At 39.3% G+C, this 20,234-nt stretch overlaps 1 protein-coding gene across 53 annotated transcripts in view; it reads left to right on the top strand.

Annotated features, from left to right (window-relative positions):
- The window catches only part of THRB (thyroid hormone receptor beta), a 378,556-nt gene that overhangs the window by 194,946 nt on the left and 163,376 nt on the right, over positions 1-20,234 (top strand). For 19 of the 53 annotated variants that reach the window (XM_047448794.1, NM_001354710.2, XM_047448799.1 and 16 more), the window contains one exon: positions 3,392-3,537. The exons of 27 other annotated variants lie outside the window; for them this stretch is intronic. The gene's annotated coding sequence lies outside the window, so the exon portion shown is untranslated. The remainder of the gene's footprint in view (positions 1-3,391; positions 3,538-20,234) is intronic. 7 more of the 53 variants (XM_047448801.1, XM_047448796.1, XM_047448802.1 and 4 more) reach the window with 1 other exon arrangement.

Raw genomic sequence — 20,234 nt, 5'->3', positions numbered from 1 at the left:
ACAAATCTACCAAATATATGTATTACAGATTTAAAAAATAATTAGCAAATATTTCAAAGGAGCGATAATATCCACCACTGCAGTTAGATGAAGAGATGGGGGGAGTCTAATACATTCCTGTGGTCTTTGAACTTTTGAAAAGCAATCTGGCAAACTCTATTAATAAAAAACACAGGGAGATATCATATATGACCCAGCTTTTGGAAGCTAGCCCATAAAAATAAAAGCATTGATATGCAAGATTCTGTGTACAGGAATTTTATTGCATCATTGTTGTAGGGAGGGAAAGAAGAATCTGGAAACCAAGCGAATGCCCAGAAATTGGGGAATAGTTGGGAAATAAATGTGGTGCACGTGTATCATGGATATTATATACTGTATGCATAGAGATTCGAGAACTACATGGATGGATGAGTATTAGGTTTTATCATGGCCAGAGTGGTTGGTAGATCATGCAAGAATCCATGTTTGAGGGTTTAAGTGAAAAAAATTCCTTTCTTTTGAGTCGCAACACCTGGAATAGTGTATCAACTTTGTCCTTAATTCCTGGTGTAACTGAGCAAAGTCACGTGTAACCAGCCACCCTGGGTCTCTGGTTGCTCAGCCTCAGGTGAGGAGGTGGCACTGCCTGTGAGTATATGCTAAATTCCAGGAGTAGCAAAGTGTTCTGCCCTCCCTCAGGCATAGGGAAAATATTGTTTTGTGTTGGCTGGACAGATCTAGAGATGTAATCGGTGGCTTTTGAAGAGTCATTGCTGAGTAAGTGAGAAAAATTTTATGCCATTTAGTCTAGGAATTGAGAGTCAGTGTTGGGATGTGCAACTCAAAGCTGTCCTGCTCCTCTTTCCTGTAATTCCCCTGGAGTATTTTCAGCAATAGGAACACACTGAAAAAGTACACTGCTTCCTCCTCCAGAGAAAACCACATGCATTTAAAGGTATAAACTCTGGTATGTTTGCTAAAAAAAAAAAAATAAATAAATAAATAAATAAAAAAGCATACTTCCCCAGAAGCCTCAAGGCTTCCTGGAATTTCTGTTAAGAATTCAGATGTACTGATGATAAATTTCTAAATACCACAATTTCAGCCAATTCTGTTAACAAATAGGAAAAAAAAAGAAAGTTTTTATGACCACAGAAACTGTTTTAAAAAATTGTGGGGGAAATGCAGTTACACTTGGTAATCTGTGAAAAACAGAGATCAGATAGAGTTCTTGATCTTTTCAAATTTTTTGCATATTGTATAGGATACAGCATCGGGTCTGTACCAACTACAGGACACTTACAAATAAGTTATTCACATTAAATTTCTTGAAAAGCATCCAAAGATCAAGTTACTCATTCTCCTTCCCCCAGGCAAGGCTGGAGAACTACACAGCCCAGGCTCTTTAAGGTCTTTCTTATTTTTAAAGAACTCTTAGTTATAATGCATGATTCTTAGTTTCCTCTACATTTTTATTTTATTCTACAGTGAACCTGAATTACTTTTCTTTTTTTTTTTTTTTTTTTTTTTTATGAGACTGAGTCTCACTCGGTCGCCCAGGCTGGAGTGCAGTGGCACTATCTCGGCTCACTGCAAGATCAGCCTCCCGGGTTCACGCCATTCTCCTGCCTCAGCCTCCCGAGTAGCTGGGACTACAGGCGCCCGCCACCACGCCCAGCTAATTTTTTTGTATTTTTAGTAGAGACGGGGTTTCACTGTGTTAGCCAGGATGGTCTCGATCTCCTGACCTCGTGATCCGCCCGCCTGGGCCTCCCAAAGTGCTGGGATTACAGGCATGAGCCACCGCGCCCGGCCTGAATTACTTTTCTAAGCAGAAAAAAAAATATTAACTTAAAAAACTTATCTATGTGATTTGAGAACTATAGTTCATAAAGTATTTTGGAATGAATTTTTAAAAAACAATCAAATGAGTCACAATCCATAATCATGTCTAGAGACCCTTTTTCATGCTGATTTCTTACAGGAGGTTACAAAGGTGAGAGACGGTGTGCATGCAGCAATGGAGGGAAAGGCCTTCCATGTAAGAGGAACATGAGGCCAAATCTTGGCAATTCACTTCCTCCCTAAGGCTCTATTTTTCCATCTGTTAAGTAGAGATGACGATAATTCTTATCTGTACAGAGTTGTTACAAGGCTTAGGGTAAAAAGTATTTGAAAATTGTACCCAGTAACTAACAATCTATGAAAATCAGAGACGGTATTTCTTCCTGGCCTCGTTTTCTTCTTCCTTGTTTAAAATAATCATAAACAAATGCAATACAAGATGTGTTAGGCCATTTGTCCTCAAAATACTATTGGCCTCTTAATTATATCTGAATAATTATTTGCATGAAATTAAGTCAACTTTACTGCAATTGTACCGAATTGGAACAAATAAAACTTCAGGTGGGAGAAATGTTAGAATCAGGTTTGTGGTTCCCATGGGGCGTGGATAGTACCTAGAAGGGAGGGATTGTAGGGGACTGGTAAGCTTCAGATTTTTGATCTGGGTGCCAGTGACACAATTTGTGATCCTTTCTCAAGGCACTCACTTTCAATCTCTGCATGTGTCTATTTTTAAGTATGTGACACTTTAATAAAAAGTTGAAACCAAAATAAATAAATAAATATCCTCTATGTAGTCTTTAACGGACCTATTTTCATTTTCTCACATTTCATATGCACAACATTAAAGAAGAAATAGAAATTCGATGCTTTAGAACAAGGTTTTCAACTAAGGGCTGGAATCAAACTGACCTAAGAGTTTATTAGAAAGTAACATGAAAATCTGCCCCCCAGAGATGGTGATTGAGTAGATCTGGGGTGGGGCCTAGAAATATGTATTTTTTAAATTCAAAAGTTAGGAGCCACTGCTCTGAAGTCTAAAGCACGGGCCCTTACACGTGCTACAAGTTGGAATCACCTGAGGCATTTAAAATGCATTATGGGCTGGGTCCAAACCCACAGCTTCTGATTTAATTGGTCTGGGATGTGTGACCCGAGCATCCAGGTTTTTTAAAGCTCCCAGGTGATTATAATGTGCAGCATCAAGTGTGGAACAGCTCTCTAAAACAGAGGGAAGGAGTTTGGAAGTCTGTTGTAGCTACTTAACAGCAGGCGAGAACAGTGAGGGAACCTCACATCATTTAACTGCCTCAAGACGAAGCCGCCAGCATCCCACCATTTCCCTGGCCTGTGGATGCCACGTAAGGCAAGTGCTTACTATATGTTTCTGTAATGAGTATGCATTTGTTTATAGGGCCTTCATAACTCGTCTGGGTCATCACCATCTTTTTAGCCTGTAAATTTCTAAATGGCAGGGGCAAGGACAGGAGAACTGCTTTGTAAAAGCAACTAAGTGCTACAATGAAATAGATGATCACAATAATGCAGAAATTCCTTTCTGCAGCTCGCCAGAGAGGCAAACTCCAGCATTTTATATTTCATCTGCCCCCAGTGACTTCACTGTAGGAAGAGGAAATGCAGAAAAACAAACGTCTTGAAGACTGAAAGCCTGTTATTCAAAGAGGTTAGCAGTAGACTGTTGGAAGTAAGGTATGTATTCCAAGATTCAGTCTGTGTGGTGATAAGAAATGGTTGTTTTGATGGAAAAATTTATGCTTCCTATTACTCACTCATCACTTACACTTCTTATTAATTCATTGTCTCCTTTCTAACCCATGGATACTACCTGGCATTCAGTGCCTTCAAAAGATGTCTTCCCTCAGATATGCCTTGTGATTTCTCATACTATACGGGTAGAGTTAAATGGGGTTAGAAGTACTAGGGCCACTCATTGTTTATGAAGGAAGTGAAAGTTGCTCCTTGAAATCAACAAAGATTCAGAACCCAAAGTTTGAATCATTTTACCTATTTGAGAAATCACCTTGCTAAAGGGCTCTTCGGCAGGAAGTCACAAAATCAGTACTCAGTTCTTGCTGAGTTCCCTGAAACTCAAACCTAAAGTGTGTGGATAGCCCTATTTAACTGACATCCCTTAAGGAGCCATGCTCCTCTGCCAGGAACATCCTCCCCCTCCTTGGTGCTGGAGTTAACTCCTGATCACCCTCCACAGGATACCTCCTTTATGCTCTCCCGGCTCACCAGAAAGGAGGACAGGGCTTGCTCTGTTCTCTGTACTCTTACAGCACTTTTGTTCCTGTACTGGTCATAGGATGTGTCACAGTGTGTTATAAATATTTATCTTCTGGTCAGGCTCTTCTGTTAGACCTAGGCTTTTATTACTGGAGGGAAACTTACTCATATTCTCAGCCTCTGAACTCAGTCCTGTGCCTTGGCACATAGTAGGGGTCACACCACGTAATTGCAGTAGACGGTGTTTGCAAAAGAATTGCCCGTCCTAACAATGTGGCCATATTTATTAGCAGGAGCTTTGGGAAGTCAAGCTTCTAACCGAAGCCGACATTATCCTAAAATAGGAAGCCACATCAACGCTGCCTTTTGACTCAATAAATGTCAGATCTTATTCCATCCAAATAACTCTTGACTCTCCAACTGAGCTCTAATGGAAGATCAAAGAGCCTCTGAGAGCTGGTCCTTTTCTCCATTTCAAGAAGTGGGTTAATGCTTATAGTTAATTCTAAGCTCTTGACTCTAGGCTGGAATGGCAATAAAGGCATATCTGACCTTTAATTCTAAGTAAAATAAAAAGACTGGAGAGTTGTTACAGAGGCAAATGTAGGAAAGAGAAAACTAAGTGGAAATTTGGGGTAGGAGGAGCAAATAATCTTTAGATCAGAAGGACCTAGATCACCTATCTGTGCTGTCCATTACTGCAGCCACTAGCCAAAGGTGGTTAAATGTAAATTAATAAAATTAAATAAAATTAAATGGTTGGTAGCCACACAGGGCTAATGGCTCCCATATTGGAAAGTGCAGATGTAGAGCATTGACATTATCACAGAAAGTTCTATTGGACAGTGCTTGATAAATTCCATCGCTTTACAGATAGGGAACCTGACAGCTGGAGAAGTTCAGTGACTGACCCAAGGATTCATACATAGTTGGCCTAGACCTGAGACCCAAGCCTCAGGAACCCCAAGCTGGCCTCATTAACACTCTGTGATACGGGGTTTTCCTAAGCCAAAGAAAATGAAGAGGGCTAACAAGTTTCAATTGAATTCAAAAGTGCAGAGTAGCCATTAAGTAGTGTTATACAGGCAAACTTACTGAAATAAAATTTGCAAGCAAAAAACTCCTGGCACAATAATTGTCTTAAGTGGAAAACTTAACTTCTGAACAAAAACTTGTCTTTGTACTTAAGTCAAAACACTAAGTTATGTCACAGTAAAAAGTACCATTCAATCACTCAATTTAATGTCAGGTGAAGCAGTTGCATACTAATCAATAACCTCAGATGCACACATTTGTGCCTATTTAAATGCCTGCCCTAGTAATCCTATACTGTATTATTGTGTAGTAAAATAGTCCCCAAAGAAAAATGTACCTTCTTGCATCTTCGAAGTATACATGCATGTGGTTAGGGCTATCACTTACCATCTTTAGATATTAATTACTTGGCTTTTCCAAATGTTGTGAAATGTTTTTTCATATTTCTATCTTGAGCTAGTTTCGATAATACAATGCTGTGCCTATGTTTGACCTCCTATAAAGAATATCAGCCCCCGTTATATATTTAAATCTGGTTTCCAGGTGGTGAGTTTTCAGACCTAGGACAGCATTTAAAATATAATTGTGTGAGGAATTTGAGTTGGTATCATAGTTACAGGGACATTTTTGGACATAGTATTTCAGAAAGCTAACATGGATTTTATTGAATTCACAGGTGATTTCTTACATTTCAGTGAAGACATCTCTATCCTGTTTGTTTTAGCACCTTGGATGATTGTGCTGAGAGCCAGTGTATTATTAGAAAGCAGCATGCTGCTAGCATTAAGGGAAAGTTTCCTTGCTAGTCCCTAGAGTCAAACAAATAAGATTTGTGTCATTTGACTTGAAATACAGAATTCTAGACCCAAAATGACTTAATGGAGTTCCTTCACAAAGCAGGAACTCCAAGGTAGTGGGTTTAATTTAGTTAATTGGGTGGCATGACAGGTCATCAAGGTGCCCTCCATCTTGTTGCCCTACTATTGTCTCCGTGTTGCCTTTTGTTCCCAGGCTGTCCGCTCAGAGTCACCTCTCTAGGCAGCATATGTTCACACAGCCACATCCAAAGACCAAAAGAGAAGCAGTGTCTTGTCACATGTGTCTTCATTACAGGAAGGAAAATATCTCTTCCAGAAACCCTCCTCATACTACCTCTAGCAAACTGCCTCTTACATCTAATTGCCCAGAATTGGGTCATGGGCTCATACCTTAGCATTAAGGGAGGTTGGGTGAGTCAGTTACTCAATAATGTGTAACAAATCACTCTAAAACTTAGTGGCTTTAAACAACTATTTTTTACCTCTCATGATTCTTCAGTCTGGGCTGGGCTCAGCAATGTGGTATTTCTGCTTCACATGGCATCTGCTGGAGCTACAACATCCAGGATGTCCTGGGGGTTGGCCAGGCATCTAACTTTCTTCACGTGGTCTCTCCGTTTAGCTAGCTTGGGCTTCCTCACAGCATGGCTGCCTCAGGATGGTCTGACTGTTTACATGGTAGCTGGTTTCCAAAAGAGTATAAAAGTGGAAACTACAAAACCTCTTAAAACATAGTCTCAAGCCACACAGTGTCACTTATGCACTCTGTTGATCAAAGCAAGCCGCAGGGTCAGCTCAATTGAGAAGGAGTCCACTTCTCTTGATGAAAGGAATGGCAAAGTCACATTGCCAGAGACATGCAGGGTGGCAGTGATTATTGCAGCCATTTGTGGAAACAATCTACCACACTGGAAATCCAAGTACCAGGCATTTTCAGACTCTGAAGGAAAACAAGATGGTTGGTAAGAAAGAGTCTGAGTAGGGTGGGTAATTAACAGTGAGTCTAAACTAAACTTGATGCTGCAGCCGCCACAATGGCATCTGCTTTGCCGCACTGATCACAACCTGGACACAGCCTATTTTAGTTAAGCCTCCCTACCCTAGATGGCCTTTGGGAATGTAATCAGGCCATGCTCAGGAAATTATACCCTATACCCAAATTCCATTTGAATGAACTGAATTCATCTGGCCTCATTTTATTGAAAGTTTTAGTTGGTAAAAGAATAGATTACTGTACCTTTGTAACAGAATAAAAATGTTCATGGGACAGATAAACACTACATTCAGCATTATGGCAAAATGATACAATTTGATTAATTGAGGTAGCATGTCCTTGGATTTTGCAATATTGTCTTCTTTTCTTTTTTGCATGTTTGACATAGTATATAATTTTAAATAAAATGACAGATTACCATAATGAGCTAGAGTTTTCTTAGTAAGAAGGGGAAAGGCATTTCTAGTTGATTTTCATTCCTTTCTCTATGATTTTCATTTCTTTCTCTTGCTAGGGGCACAGCCTAGGAAGGGAGAACTCTGCAGTATGATTGAATGATACTGGGATGGGTGACTCCACATTCTAGGGAAAGCTCAATAGCTTAATGATCAACACGTCTCAACATTCTCAAATTCATTCAGGTATCAGAGCTTGTAGAAGTCGTGATACCCTTTCAGACCACCCCAAAATGATGATGGCCAGGAACTTTTAAAAGTAACATGCCTAATTTTGGGTAAAACCAGCTTATATTTTATACTTGATTCTGGGACAGACCAGTGAGTGGTAGCAGGTGCAAAAAATTATGAGCAACAAACAAAAACTTTGCAGCTGAGAAATTCTATCAAATGCTATTTTTAGAAAATTGATAAAATTGACTAAATTTTAAATAAATTAAACTTTTTTAACTTTAGCCAAAGTTCTGTTTTTTTTCATTGAAATGCCTCAGTGTAGTTTATGGGACCCCAATGTTTTGTATAGTCCAAGATTCCCTTGCCATAGATCAGTGAGAGGGCCCAGGAGCCGAGGGATCTGGTCCAAACATGCAGCTAAAATCCCTTGGTTATAGCATTCTATTATTGTTATTGATTTTCTTAACTCTAACATTTAATTATCCTGTTAGAACTGTAGTTGAAATGAGACCACTGACTTCTTTACTCGACAAGATTTATTGAGAGTCCACTATTTGCCAGGCACAGTGCTGAGAACCAGGAAGTCATTAATGAGGACAAGATGGTTCCTGACCCCCAGCAGGAAGCTTAACGTCGAGCCAGGGAGAAGGGCTTGAAACAAGGTGATGCACACAGTGGAGAGGACAGGGAGCTTAGAGGACGGCACCAGCACAGCACACTTTGGGGTCAGCACCTACATCTCAGTTCAGAGCCTTGCCACCATCTAAAAATATAAATATTAGAATTGGATGTGTCCCTGATGCTTCTGGGGACTGAAAGACTTAATTTTTACAGCTACTATGGCCCTGGAGCACTTAAAAAAGCATTTTAGTAAAAGCAATCCATGTTTATGGTAAAAATAGTAATAACATTGAGCAGTTCAGAAGGATATAAAATGAAATGTAGAAGGCCCCCTCCCTATCTTCCAGCCCTACTCCCTGTAGGTGACCACTAGTTGCATTTTTTCATTTTCTTGTATACCTTACCAGAAATATTGCAGACATAGTACAAACATGTGCACACACATTGTATGTAACACAGATTAAATTTTTTCCTTAAATAATAAAATTTGGCACCTTTTCATACCTCTCTATATAACTTTCACTTTATGTTACTCTTTTTTCTCAACAGCCACATATTAGTCCATTGAATGATTAGATGTACCAAAATTTATTTACTGAGTCTTCTGTTAATGGACATTTAAGTTATTTCCAGAATGTTGCAATTTCATAAAACCTACAATGAACATATATATATACATATATATTTACATAAATGACTATGTCTGCAGGATAAATTCCAAGATGTAGAATCACAGTGTCAAAAGGCATGTACATTTGGAATTTTGTCAGATATTGCCAAAATGTTGGACTAATTTGCAGTCTTGTTGACAATGTGCAAAAGAGCCCCAGTTATATTTTGCAAGAAATGTAGAGTCAGCCCTCCATATCCATGGATTCTGCATCCATGGATTCAACCAACTATGGATTGAAAATATTTGGAAAAAAAATGCATCCATACTAAACATGTATAAACCTTTTTTCTTATTGTTATTTGCTAAACAATACAGTATAACAACTCTTTACATAGCATTTACATTGCATTATGTATCATAAGTAATCTAGAGATTATTTAAAGCATATGGGAGAATGTCTGTAGGTTTTATGCAAATATTACACCCTTTTGTATAAGGGACTTGAGCATCTCTGGTGTCCAAGGGAGGTCCTAGAACCAGTCCTCCACAGATGCCAAGGGACAATGGACAATAACTCATGTGCGCACAGAAACACTGATGAAGCTTTGAAAGCAAAGAGGAGTTTGCACTTTATATTTAAATATGTCTAGGCAGAGCCCTGTGTCATTTGCTAATAAAAGGAAGTGGCAGGACTCAATATTCAAAAGGCCTCCCATTTTCTGTGTCTTTCTTCTAAAGTCTTTAAACTGCTGCATCATAGGAATTTAGTTTACTAAATCCAAATTACAAATTTCAAGTACAACTTGGCTTCTAATCTCCTATTGTGAGAGGAAGGCTGTAACAGGAACCTATTTTGTGGATCTCTCTTTTGGGTAACGCTCTCAGGTGGTAAGGTGTGGAAAGGTACATTAAGGAAAATGGGAGGGCAGTTGGAGGGGATCAATTAGTGTTTTTTGCTTAATTAAGCACAGTCCTCTGTAGTCCCAAAGCCTGGGCTCTGTTGATCTGCCTGAACCACTTCTCTTTGGTACGGAAATTCATGAGAACAGGACATCTTACTTGAGTAACAGATGCCACCTCCCTATAGTCAAGTTAGTCAAGAAAATTCCAAGAATTATTTTAAGGTATTTTATTTCATGCCTGGCAGAGCATAGAAAAATATTAGCTTCTAGGGCTAGACGACTGCTTTGGGGTTTCCAAGAAAAAGGTTTCAAGGTTAGTCATTACTATGCAATTCTGCTGCTGTGACTGATTTTAATGCCATCCCAGGATCAACAATTGCTAGAAAAATCAGGCTTCTTGTCAGAAAAATACATTTCTTCCCCTAATATCTAATTAATTAAGGTATTTTAACCACTTGATTGTGCATCGTGTCTCTTGGAGGAGAAACTGAATTGAGTTGTCAGAGAATCAAAACTTTAATGACCAAAGTCCTTTGAATATAACTAGGGAGGAACTTTGATTCATAATCATTTTGTTTCAAAATGCTGAGTATAGTTTTTGAAGTTTACAGTGAACATGCCCAGGATATGATGCTCACTGGAGAGAACATTTTGTTTATAAGATGTCTCCCGTGTTAATTCAGACATTTCAGATAGGCCCAAAGAGGGTCTCGGCCTGGTGCCTCTCCGTTGTTTGCAGAACATGGCAGGCAGACACTCCAAATGTATGGCCCAAGAGAGAGACAGGCCTTGCATTTAATTAAAGTAACCCAGTAAACTTCCTGAAAGATTTATCCCCCCAACCCCACCCCTTCATATCTCAAAAGAAACGTAACTAAGCACCAAATATTTTTCTTTCTGCTAGTGTTTTGAGGTTTTTCTTGGCTCATTTTTTGCAGCTCAGACACTATGGAAAACTTTATTGCCTTGCAAACATGTCTCTGGGTGGCTGAGGAAACAGGGAAAGCACAACCTAATTCATTTCTTTTCTATAGGAAATAATGCCCAGAAGAGTAAATGTTGTCTGCCACAGTTAAAAATCAGAAGAGAGGAGCTAGGCATTGACTTTAAAAGTAAGGAGGTTTTTCATGAAAGACACTGGAGGCCTTTGCTGGGGATGGGGGAATCTATAAGTAAAGGTGAAGAGATTTTAGGTTTGTCACCATGATAGGGAACATCCCAATACTCTGAGGTATACATATAGATATAATGAATTTTTAGTCATGTCAGTAAGTAGGGAGATTGACTTCAGCCTCAAGGTATTTAAAAATATGTTAGAGAGATTTCATGAAAGAAAAAATGTGACAGCCTTTTCGATATTTTAGCCTAGGCTGCAATTAATATCCACTAACCAAGAAACAGACTCCTCGAAATAATTAGGTTTTCTTTGAGTAGCTGCTATAATAAAAAGCCAAGTGGTATTTTAATTTTCACGTCATTTCTGAAAGGCAACTTGTATTTTAGTTCTTGGTCCCTCCCTCCTCAACTCCAAAAAAAGAAAAGACTGATAGAGGGATAGATAGGTAGATGGGTAAGTGGATGAGTAGACACTGATGAACTTGCTATTTACCTGAAGAAAAAAAAATGGAATGCAATCTCTTTGAAGGGAAAACTATATAAAATTGCCATTTTTGTAGGTTAAAATGACTGAATGTTGGCAATTTTTTATGTTTTAACCTAAAAGAATATGCATCCAAGCACATTTGAACTTGTGTTTGTCTTTACTAAACATTTAGAAATTTGTGATACAGTTTATGAAACATCTTTCTCATAGTGAAGTTGTCTACCTAAAGATCTTGTTGGTGCTTTAAATCCTACGTGTTTCATTTCTTTAAAAATTCCTTAGTATTCATGCAGCTAATAGGCAGCAGTAATGAAGCCCTCGTCTGTCCACTTGCCAGCCTTCCCATTTGGCCAGCAAGCTCTGGCTTGAAACCCCACACTGGGCTCTTGTCCATTTTTCATGAGGCTCCTCATCCCCTCCCTCTTCTTAGCCAGCACTCTGGACAACAGTCAGAAATCAGAAGGGCTTTATTTCCTTAAGCAAGTCACTTCTTTCAGTGTTTCTGGCATTGCTTTGGTGCAGTGGCTTTCCAATTGATGACCACAGCCCACAGTAAGAAATACATTTTACATAACGACCAAGCATACAAATGGTGTGTGTTTGTAAATCAAACAAAAGTTTCACAAAACAATCCTAACTCTTAAGAAACGCAGTGAACTGACGCTTTCCAGTCTACTTCATTTCATTTTTTAAAAGGCACTGCTTGCTACCCACTAAATTGATTTCACAACCCACTTATGTGTTGGGACCCATAGTTTGAAAAACACTGCTTTAGTGTACTTGATTCAACCCGGGAATTTTAAGTCTTGGCAGTCAATCACAGGCTTGCTTATATCGGCAGAAAAAGACAGGACTATTCATTGCTGGGAACACGGTAAAAACATCCTTTGGCAGCCTTCAGAAAAATTTTTTAATAGCAGTGGAAATAAACAGGTATTAAATCTATTAATGGAGGACAGCCTCAGCCAAAAAATAACAAGGGGTTAAAAAAAAAGAGCAGTCACATACTCACAGAAAGTAGACAGAATCCTGCAGAACCTAGTTCTAGAATTTTGTGTCCAAGCACAACTCTCAGCTGAGAACAACAGGTTAGCCTATTTTCTAGGTAGTATGGAATGTGTAAATAGTTCAGATGTAGACGGTGGAAAACTCACAATGTTGGTTTAGAAATCCTGGCTCTGCAGCTGCCAATCATACTTCATTTCTTGTTAAGGCCAGGAACTGAGACTTCTCTGGGCTTCCAGCCACTGGCTGTCTTCATCCACATCTTGGCCTTCACCCAGCCTTCCTTTTACTACCTTGGGTCACAATTTGTCCTGCTCCGGCCACTTGGTAGAAAACTTGCCTTCTATATTTGGGACAGAATAAAAGATGCTCTTAAAACCTAGAGGAAGTCACGTATCAGGTGCTACTGGTATCATGATGTGTTAATGTACCAAATCAGAATCCTATTCAGTGCAACTTTGGAACCACAGCTTTTGTGAAGCTATAATGTGGAGAAAATCCAAGACAAGTGCACAGTAAATTCTGTGCTTGGCAGTGTTCACTATTTATATGAGTAAATGTTGTTCCTTTCTCTTCTTGGCCTTTGGCTACTGGTGTTTCCTTTTAAAGTTCATGCCAAAGTAGGGTGGGAATTTATCATTTGACAATAGAAAGTGAACTGGATCTAATCAGTCCAGGAGCCTACATTTGAATTGTGTTCCTACAATGCAACATCAGGTTCTGCCTTCAAACTTTCCTGCTCCCCACATCATCCCAAAAACATTTTAAAGGCCATCAAAAGAATGCTGTCATAATAAAGATTCTCAAACATTCTCTAGAATTGCAGAAAGCTGGGACAACGCTCCTGTTGAAAGTTAGTTTTCTTCTCTCCCTTTCAAGTTGACCAGGAAGAGCTGGAAGAGCATTTTTCAGGATATCAGAATCCCAGAACAACTCTCATCTCACTTACAAACTAAAGGACAGTGGCCTCATACAAGTTATGCTTCACTAGAACTGATTTTCTTCTTCTCTAGGCTGGGAAAGCCACTCTTGGCCTACATTGCTCATAAAATGAATGAAAGTTTAAATAAAATAATGCACATAAAAATACTGTGACAAACATACAGTCCAACTGCAGGTTCTTTTTCTGTTTTTGATCAATCAAGACCTAAATTGAAGTCTTTTAAGTCCTTGTAGCCCTAGGAATCTGATTTTTAAGGTAAATGTGCAGGTCTCAGATCTGCTTAAAGGAGAGTGGGTAAAGCTGAAGGCGCTGGGTAGGGGACGAACAGAGTTATTCAGTGGCAAAGGAAAGAATATGAAAAGGAAATGTGTGTAAGATATCTATGTAGAACCCACTGCATTGGGTCTGCAAGTGGTGGTAGATATTCTGAAACTCTGCAAAAGCCTGGATTTCCACAAGCTTTGGGGCCTTCAAAAGGTTGCTTGAGTACCTATCTGTGAATGTTAAATTTTATTCCTTGGAATTTACCCAACTTCAACTTCTGTCTAACTTGATCTTCAACTTCTTACTTTACACAAGCACATCTCACTTAAAAGTGAGAAGGGTCATTTTAAGCCCCACTCTCGTGTTCCTCTTGGAACCCCATGCCGCCCAGGCTAACGGTGAGAAAATGTAGCACATGCCCTTCTCATTGCCACATGCTTGCTCCTCAGAGAAATAAAGGTAAAGAAAGGTATTAAAAAAATAGTGTTTTCATAGAAGGAGATGTTGCAATGAGAAAACTTTGACATAAAATTTCTATTTTATCTAGTCATACTATGGTTACTGGGCTTTGAAACTGAGTTTCAACATGAATAAACAAAGCTGCTAGTGAAATGCGTCGAGCTTGAATTGAGTGTCCTCAGCCTAAGAGTGGATCAACATTCTTCAGCTATATCTACAAGCCATCTAGCTGTTTGTCCAAATGCAGATTTTTGAGATGTTTGGAGAAGAACCTAACAGTTGAGGCTGAAATCTTAAACCATATGCATTAAGTCTCTTATGTACAAAATTCCTCTCTTGCCTCTTAGCCAATGATGGTGACAGGGTTGAACGGTGAAGAAATGGAGCATGTCTGGGATTTCTTTCTTTCCTCCCAACTATGAATATCTTCTTGAACCAAGCTAAAAAGAGTACAAAAAATATAATGCTTTCCTTAGAAAGTTATTGTTTTATGAAAGCATGTTGGTATTGTTGAAGCTGTTTTGCCAATACAGGCTTCTAAATGGGAAGAGGTATGTCATAGTTCAGGCTGCTGTAACAAAATATCATAGATTAGGTTGCTTATACACCAAACATTTGTTTCTCACAGTTCTTGAGGCTTGGGTGTCCAAGGTCAAGGTATCAGCAGATTCACTGTCTGGTAAGGGCCCACTTCCTGGTTTGCATATGGTTGTCTTCTCTTTATGCCTTCACATGGTCTTTCCTTGGTGCATATGTATGAAGAGCAAAATCTCTCCATCTTCATCTTCACATAAGGGCACTAATCCCATCATGAAGGTCCCACCCTCAGACCTAATCTAACCCAACTACCGCCCAGAGGCCCTACCTCCAAATACCATCACATTGGGGGTTAGTGCTTCAACATGTGGATTTGGGCAGAGGAAGACACAAACATTTAGCCTATAACAAGGCATAACCCTCCAAGTGAACATTATAAAGCACTAAAAAGACTCTAACCTTAGGAATCAATGTAATGCAAAATCACTTTTACTCTAGGTTAAGAATAGGTATAATTTAGCAATTGTTTATATGATAGCAGAAGCACTGTTTTCTTGGGCATTTTAGTTAAATTTGAGACATAGGAAGTTACCAGGTAGTTAGGGTTAAATGGCCAGTATTCTTGGGAGAAAATAAGATTAATATGGCATCAGAAATTGGTTCTATGGCTTTTTTTTTTAATTATACTTTAAGTTTTAGGGTACATGTGCACAATGTGCAGGTTAGTTACATATGTATACATGTGCCATGCTGGTGTGCTGCACCCACTAACTCGTCCTCTAGCATTAGGTATATCTCCCAATGCTATCCCTCCCCCCTCCCCCCACCCCACAACAGTCCCCAGAGTGTGATGTTCCCCTTCCTGTGTCCATGTGTTCTCATAGTTCAATTCCCACCTATGAGTGAGAATATGCGGTGTTTGGTTTTTTGTTCTTGTGATAGTTTACTGAGAATTATGGTTTCCAATTTCATCCATGTCCCTACAAAGGACATGAACTCATCCTTTTTTAAGGCTGCATAGTATTCCATGGTGTATATGTGCCACATTTTCTTAATCCAGTCTATCATTGTTGGACATTTGGGTTGGTTCCAAGTCTTTGCTATTGTGAATAATGCCGCAATAAACATATGTGTGCATGTGTCTTTATAGCAGCATGATTTATAGTCCTTTGGGTATATACCCAGTAATGGGATGGCTGGGTCAAATGGTATGTCTAGTTCTAGATCCCTGAGGAATCACCACACTGACTTCCACAATGGTTGAACTAGTTTACAGTCCCACTAACAGTGTAAAAGTGTTCCTATTTCTCCACATCCTCTCCAGCACCTGTTGTTTCCTGACTTTTTAATGATTGCCATTCTAACTGGTGTGAAATGGTATCTCTTTGTGGTTTTAATTTGCATTTCTCTGATGGCCAGTGATGGTGAGCATTTTTTCATGTGTTTTTTGGCTGCATAAATGTCTTCTTTTGAGAAGTGTCTGTTCATGTCCTCTGCCCACTTTTTGATGGGGTTGTTTGTTTTTTTCTTGTAAATCTGTTTGAGTTCATTGTAGATTCTGGATATTAGCCCTTTGTCAGATGAGTAGGTTGCAAAAATTTTCTCCCATTCTGTAGGTTGCCTGTTCACTCTGATGGTAGTTTCTTTTGCTGTGCAGAAGCTCTTTAGTTTAATTAGATCCCATTTGTCAATTTTGGCTTTTGTTGACATTGCTTTTGGTGTTTTAGACATGAAGTCTTTCCCCATGCCTATGTCCTGAATGGCAATGCCTAGGTTTTCTTCTAGGGTTTTTATGGTTTTAGGTCTAACGTTTAAATCTTTAATCCATCTTGAATTGATTTTTGTATAAGGTGTAAGGAAGGGATCCAGTTTCAGCTTTCTACATATGGCTAGCCAGTTTTCCCAGCACCATTGATTAAATAGGGAATCCTTTCCCCATTGCTTGTTTTTCTCAGGTTTGTCAAAGATCAGATAGTTGTAGATATGTGGCGTTATTTCTGAGGGCTCTGTTCTGTTCCGTTGATCTATATCTCTGTTTTGGTACCAGTACCATGCTGTTTTGGTTACTGTAGCCTTGTAGTATAGTTTGAAGTCAGGTAGTGTGATGCCTCCAGCTTTGTTCTTTTGGCTCAGGATTGACTTGGCGATGCGGGCTCTTTTTTGGTTCCATATGAACTTTAAAGTAGTTTTTTCCAATTCTGTGAAGAAAGTCATTGGTAGCTTGGTGGGGATGGCATTGAATCTGTAAATTACCTTGGGCAGTATGGCCATTTTCATGATATTGATTCTTCCTACCCATGAGCATGGAATGTTCTTCCATTTGTTTGTATCCTCTTTTATTTCCTTGAGCAGTGGTTTGTAGTTCTCCTTGAAGAGGTCCTTCACATCCCTTGTAAGTTGGATTCCTAGGTATTTTATTCTCTTTGTAGCAATTGTGAATGGGAGTTCACTCATGATTTGGCTCTCTGTCTGTTACTGGTGTATAAGAATGCTTGTGATTTTTGTACATTGATTTTGTATCCTGAGACTTTGCTGAAGTTGCTTATCAGCTTAAGGAGATTTTGGGCTGAGACAATGGGGTTTTCTAGATATACAATCATGTCATCTGCAAACAGGGACAATTTGACTTCCTCTTTTCCTAATTGAATACCCTTTATTTCCTTCTCCTGCCTAATTGCCCTGGCCAGAACTTCCAACACTATGTCGAATAGGAGTGGTGAGAGAGGGCATCCCTGTCTTGTGCCAGTTTTCAAAGGGAATGCTTCCAGTTTTTGCCCATTCAGTATGATATTGGCTGTGGGTTTGTCATAAATAGCTCTTATTATTTTGAGATACGTCCCATCAATACCTAATTTATTGAGAGTTTTTAGCATGAAGTGTTGTTGAATTTTGTCAAAGGCCTTTTCTGCATCTATTGAGATAATCACGTGGTTTTTGTCTTTGGTTCTGTTTATATGCTGGATTATGTTTATTGATTTGCATATATTGAACCAGCCTTGCATCCCAGGGATGAAGCCCACTTGATCATGGTGGATAAGCTTTTTGATGTGCTGCTGGATTTGGTTTGCCAGTATTTTACTGAGGATTTTTGCATCAATGTTCATCAAGGATATTGGTCTAAAATTCTCTTTTTTGGTTGTGTCTCTGCCCGGCTTTGGTATCAGGATGATGCTGGCCTCATAAAATGAGTTAGGGAGGATTCCCTCTTTTTCTATTGATTGGAATAGTTTCAGAAGGAATGGTACCAGTTCCTCCTTGTACCTCTGGTAGAATTCGGCTGTGAATCCATCTGGTCCTGGACTCTTTCGTTGGTAAGGTATTGATTATTGCCACAATTTCAGATCCTGTTATTGGTCTATTCAGAGATTCAACTTCTTCCTGGTTTAGTCTTGGGAGGGTGTATGTGTCAAGGAATTTATCCATTTCTTCTAGATTTTCTAGTTTATTTGCGTAGAGGTGTTTGTAGTATTCTCTGATGGTAGTTTGTATTTCTGTGGGATCGGTGGTGATATCCTCTTTATCATTTTTTATTGCGTCTATTTGATTGTTCTCTCTTTTTTTCTTTATTAGTCTTGCTAGCGGTCTATCAATTTTGTTGATCCTTTCAAAAAACCAGCTCCTGGATTCGTTAACTTTCTGAAGGGTTTTTGTGTCTCTATTTCCTTCAGTTCTGCTCTGATTTTAGTTATTTCTTGCCTTCTGCTAGCTTTTGAATGTGTTTGCTCTTGCTTCTCTAGTTCTTTTAATTGTGATGTTAGGGTGTCAATTTTGGATCTTTCCTGCTTTCTCTTGTGGGCATTTAGTGCTATAAATTTCCCTCTACACACTGCTTTGAATGCGTCCCAGAGATTCTGGTATGTTGTGTCTTTGTTCTCGTTGGTTTCAAAGAACATCTTCATTTCTGCCTTCATTTCGTTATGTACCCAGTAGTCATTCAGGAGCAGGTTTTTCAGTTTCCATGTAGTTGAGCGGTTTTGAGTGAGATTCTTAATCCTGAGTTCTAGTTTGACTGCACTGTGGTCTGAGAGATAGTTTTTTATAATTTCTGTTCTTTTACATTTGCTGAGGAGAGCTTTACTTCCAAGTATGTGGTCAATTTTGGAATAGGTGTGGTGTGGTGCTGAAAAAAATGTATATTCTGTTGATTTGGGGTGGAGAGTTCTGTAGATGTCTATTAGGTCTGCTTGGTGCAAAGCTGAGTTCAATTCCTGGGTATCCTTGTTGACTTTCTGTCTCGTTGATCTGTCTAATGTTGATGGTGGGGTGTTAAAGTCTCCCATTATTAATGTGTGGGAGTCTAACTCTCTTTGTAGGTCACTCAGGACTTGCTTTATGAATCTGGGTGCTCCTGTATTGGGTGCATATATATTTAGGATAGGTAGCTCTTCTTGTTGAATTGATCCCTTTACCATTAAATAATGGCCTTCTTTGTCTCTTTTGATCTTTGTTGGTTTAAAGTCTGTTTTATCAGAGACTAGGATTGCAACCCCTGCCTTTTTTTGTTTTCCATTTGCTTGGTAGATCTTCCTCCATCCTTTTATTTTGAGCCTATGTGTGTCTCTGCACGTGAGATGGGTTTCCTGAATACAGCACACTGATGGGTCTTGACTCTTTATCCATTTCGCCAGTCTGTGTCTTTTAATTGGAGCATTTAGTCCATTTACATTTAAAGTTAATATTGTTATGTGTGAATTTGATCCTGTCATTATGATGTTAGCTGGTGATTTTGCTCGTTAGTTGATGCGGTTTCCTCCTAGTCTCGATGGTCTTTACATTTTGGCATGATTTTGCAGCGGCTGGTACCAGTTCCTTTCCATGTTTAGCACTTCCTTCAGGAGCTCTTCTAGGGCAGGCCTGGTGGTGACAAAATCTCTCAGCATTTGCTTGTCTGTAAAGTATTTTATTTCTCCTTCACTTATGAAGCTTAGTTTGGCTGGATATGAAATTCTGGGTTGAAAATTCTTTTCTTTAAGAATGTTGAATATTGGCCCCCACTCTCTTCTGGCTTGTAGAGTTTCTGCCGAGAGATCTGCTGTTAGTCTGATGGGCTTCCCTTTGAGGGTAACCCGACCTTTGTCTCTGGCTGCCCTTAACATTTTTTCCTTCATTTCAGCTTTGGTGAATCTGACAATTATGTGTCTTGGTGTTGCTCTTCTCGAGGAGTATCTTTGTGGCGTTCTCTGTATTTCCTGAATCTGAACGTTGGCCTGCCTTGCTAGATTGGGGAAGTTCTCCTGGATGATATCCTGCAGAGTGTTTTCCAACTTGGTTCCATTCTCCCCATCACTTTCAGGTACACCAATCAGACGTAGATTTGGTCTTTTCACATAGTCCCATATTTCTTGGAGGCTTTGTTCATTTCTTTTTATTCCTTTTTCTCTAAACTTCCCTTCTCGCTTCATTTCATTCATTTCATCTTCCATCACTGATACCCTTTCTTCCAGTTGATCGCATGGGCTCCTGAGGCTTCTGCATTCTTCACGTAGTTCTCGAGCCTTGGTTTTCAGCTCCATCAGCTCCTTTAAGCACTTCTCTGTATTGGTTATTCTAGTTATACATTCTTCTAAGTTTTTTTCAAAGTTTTCAACTTATTTGCCTTTGGTTTGAATGTCCTCCCATAGCTTGGAGTAATTTGATCGTCTGAAGCCTTCTTCTCTCAGCTTGTCAAAGTCATTCTCCGTCCAGCTTTGTTCTGTTGCTGGTGAGGAACTGCATTCCTTTGGAGGAGGAGAGG

Source organism: Homo sapiens, chromosome 3 (assembly GCF_000001405.40).
Source record: "Homo sapiens chromosome 3, GRCh38.p14 Primary Assembly".
Taxonomy (NCBI): domain Eukaryota; kingdom Metazoa; phylum Chordata; class Mammalia; order Primates; family Hominidae; genus Homo; species Homo sapiens.
Note: the sequence above shows the minus strand (reverse complement) of the source record. Positions and strands in the feature narration are given on the sequence as shown.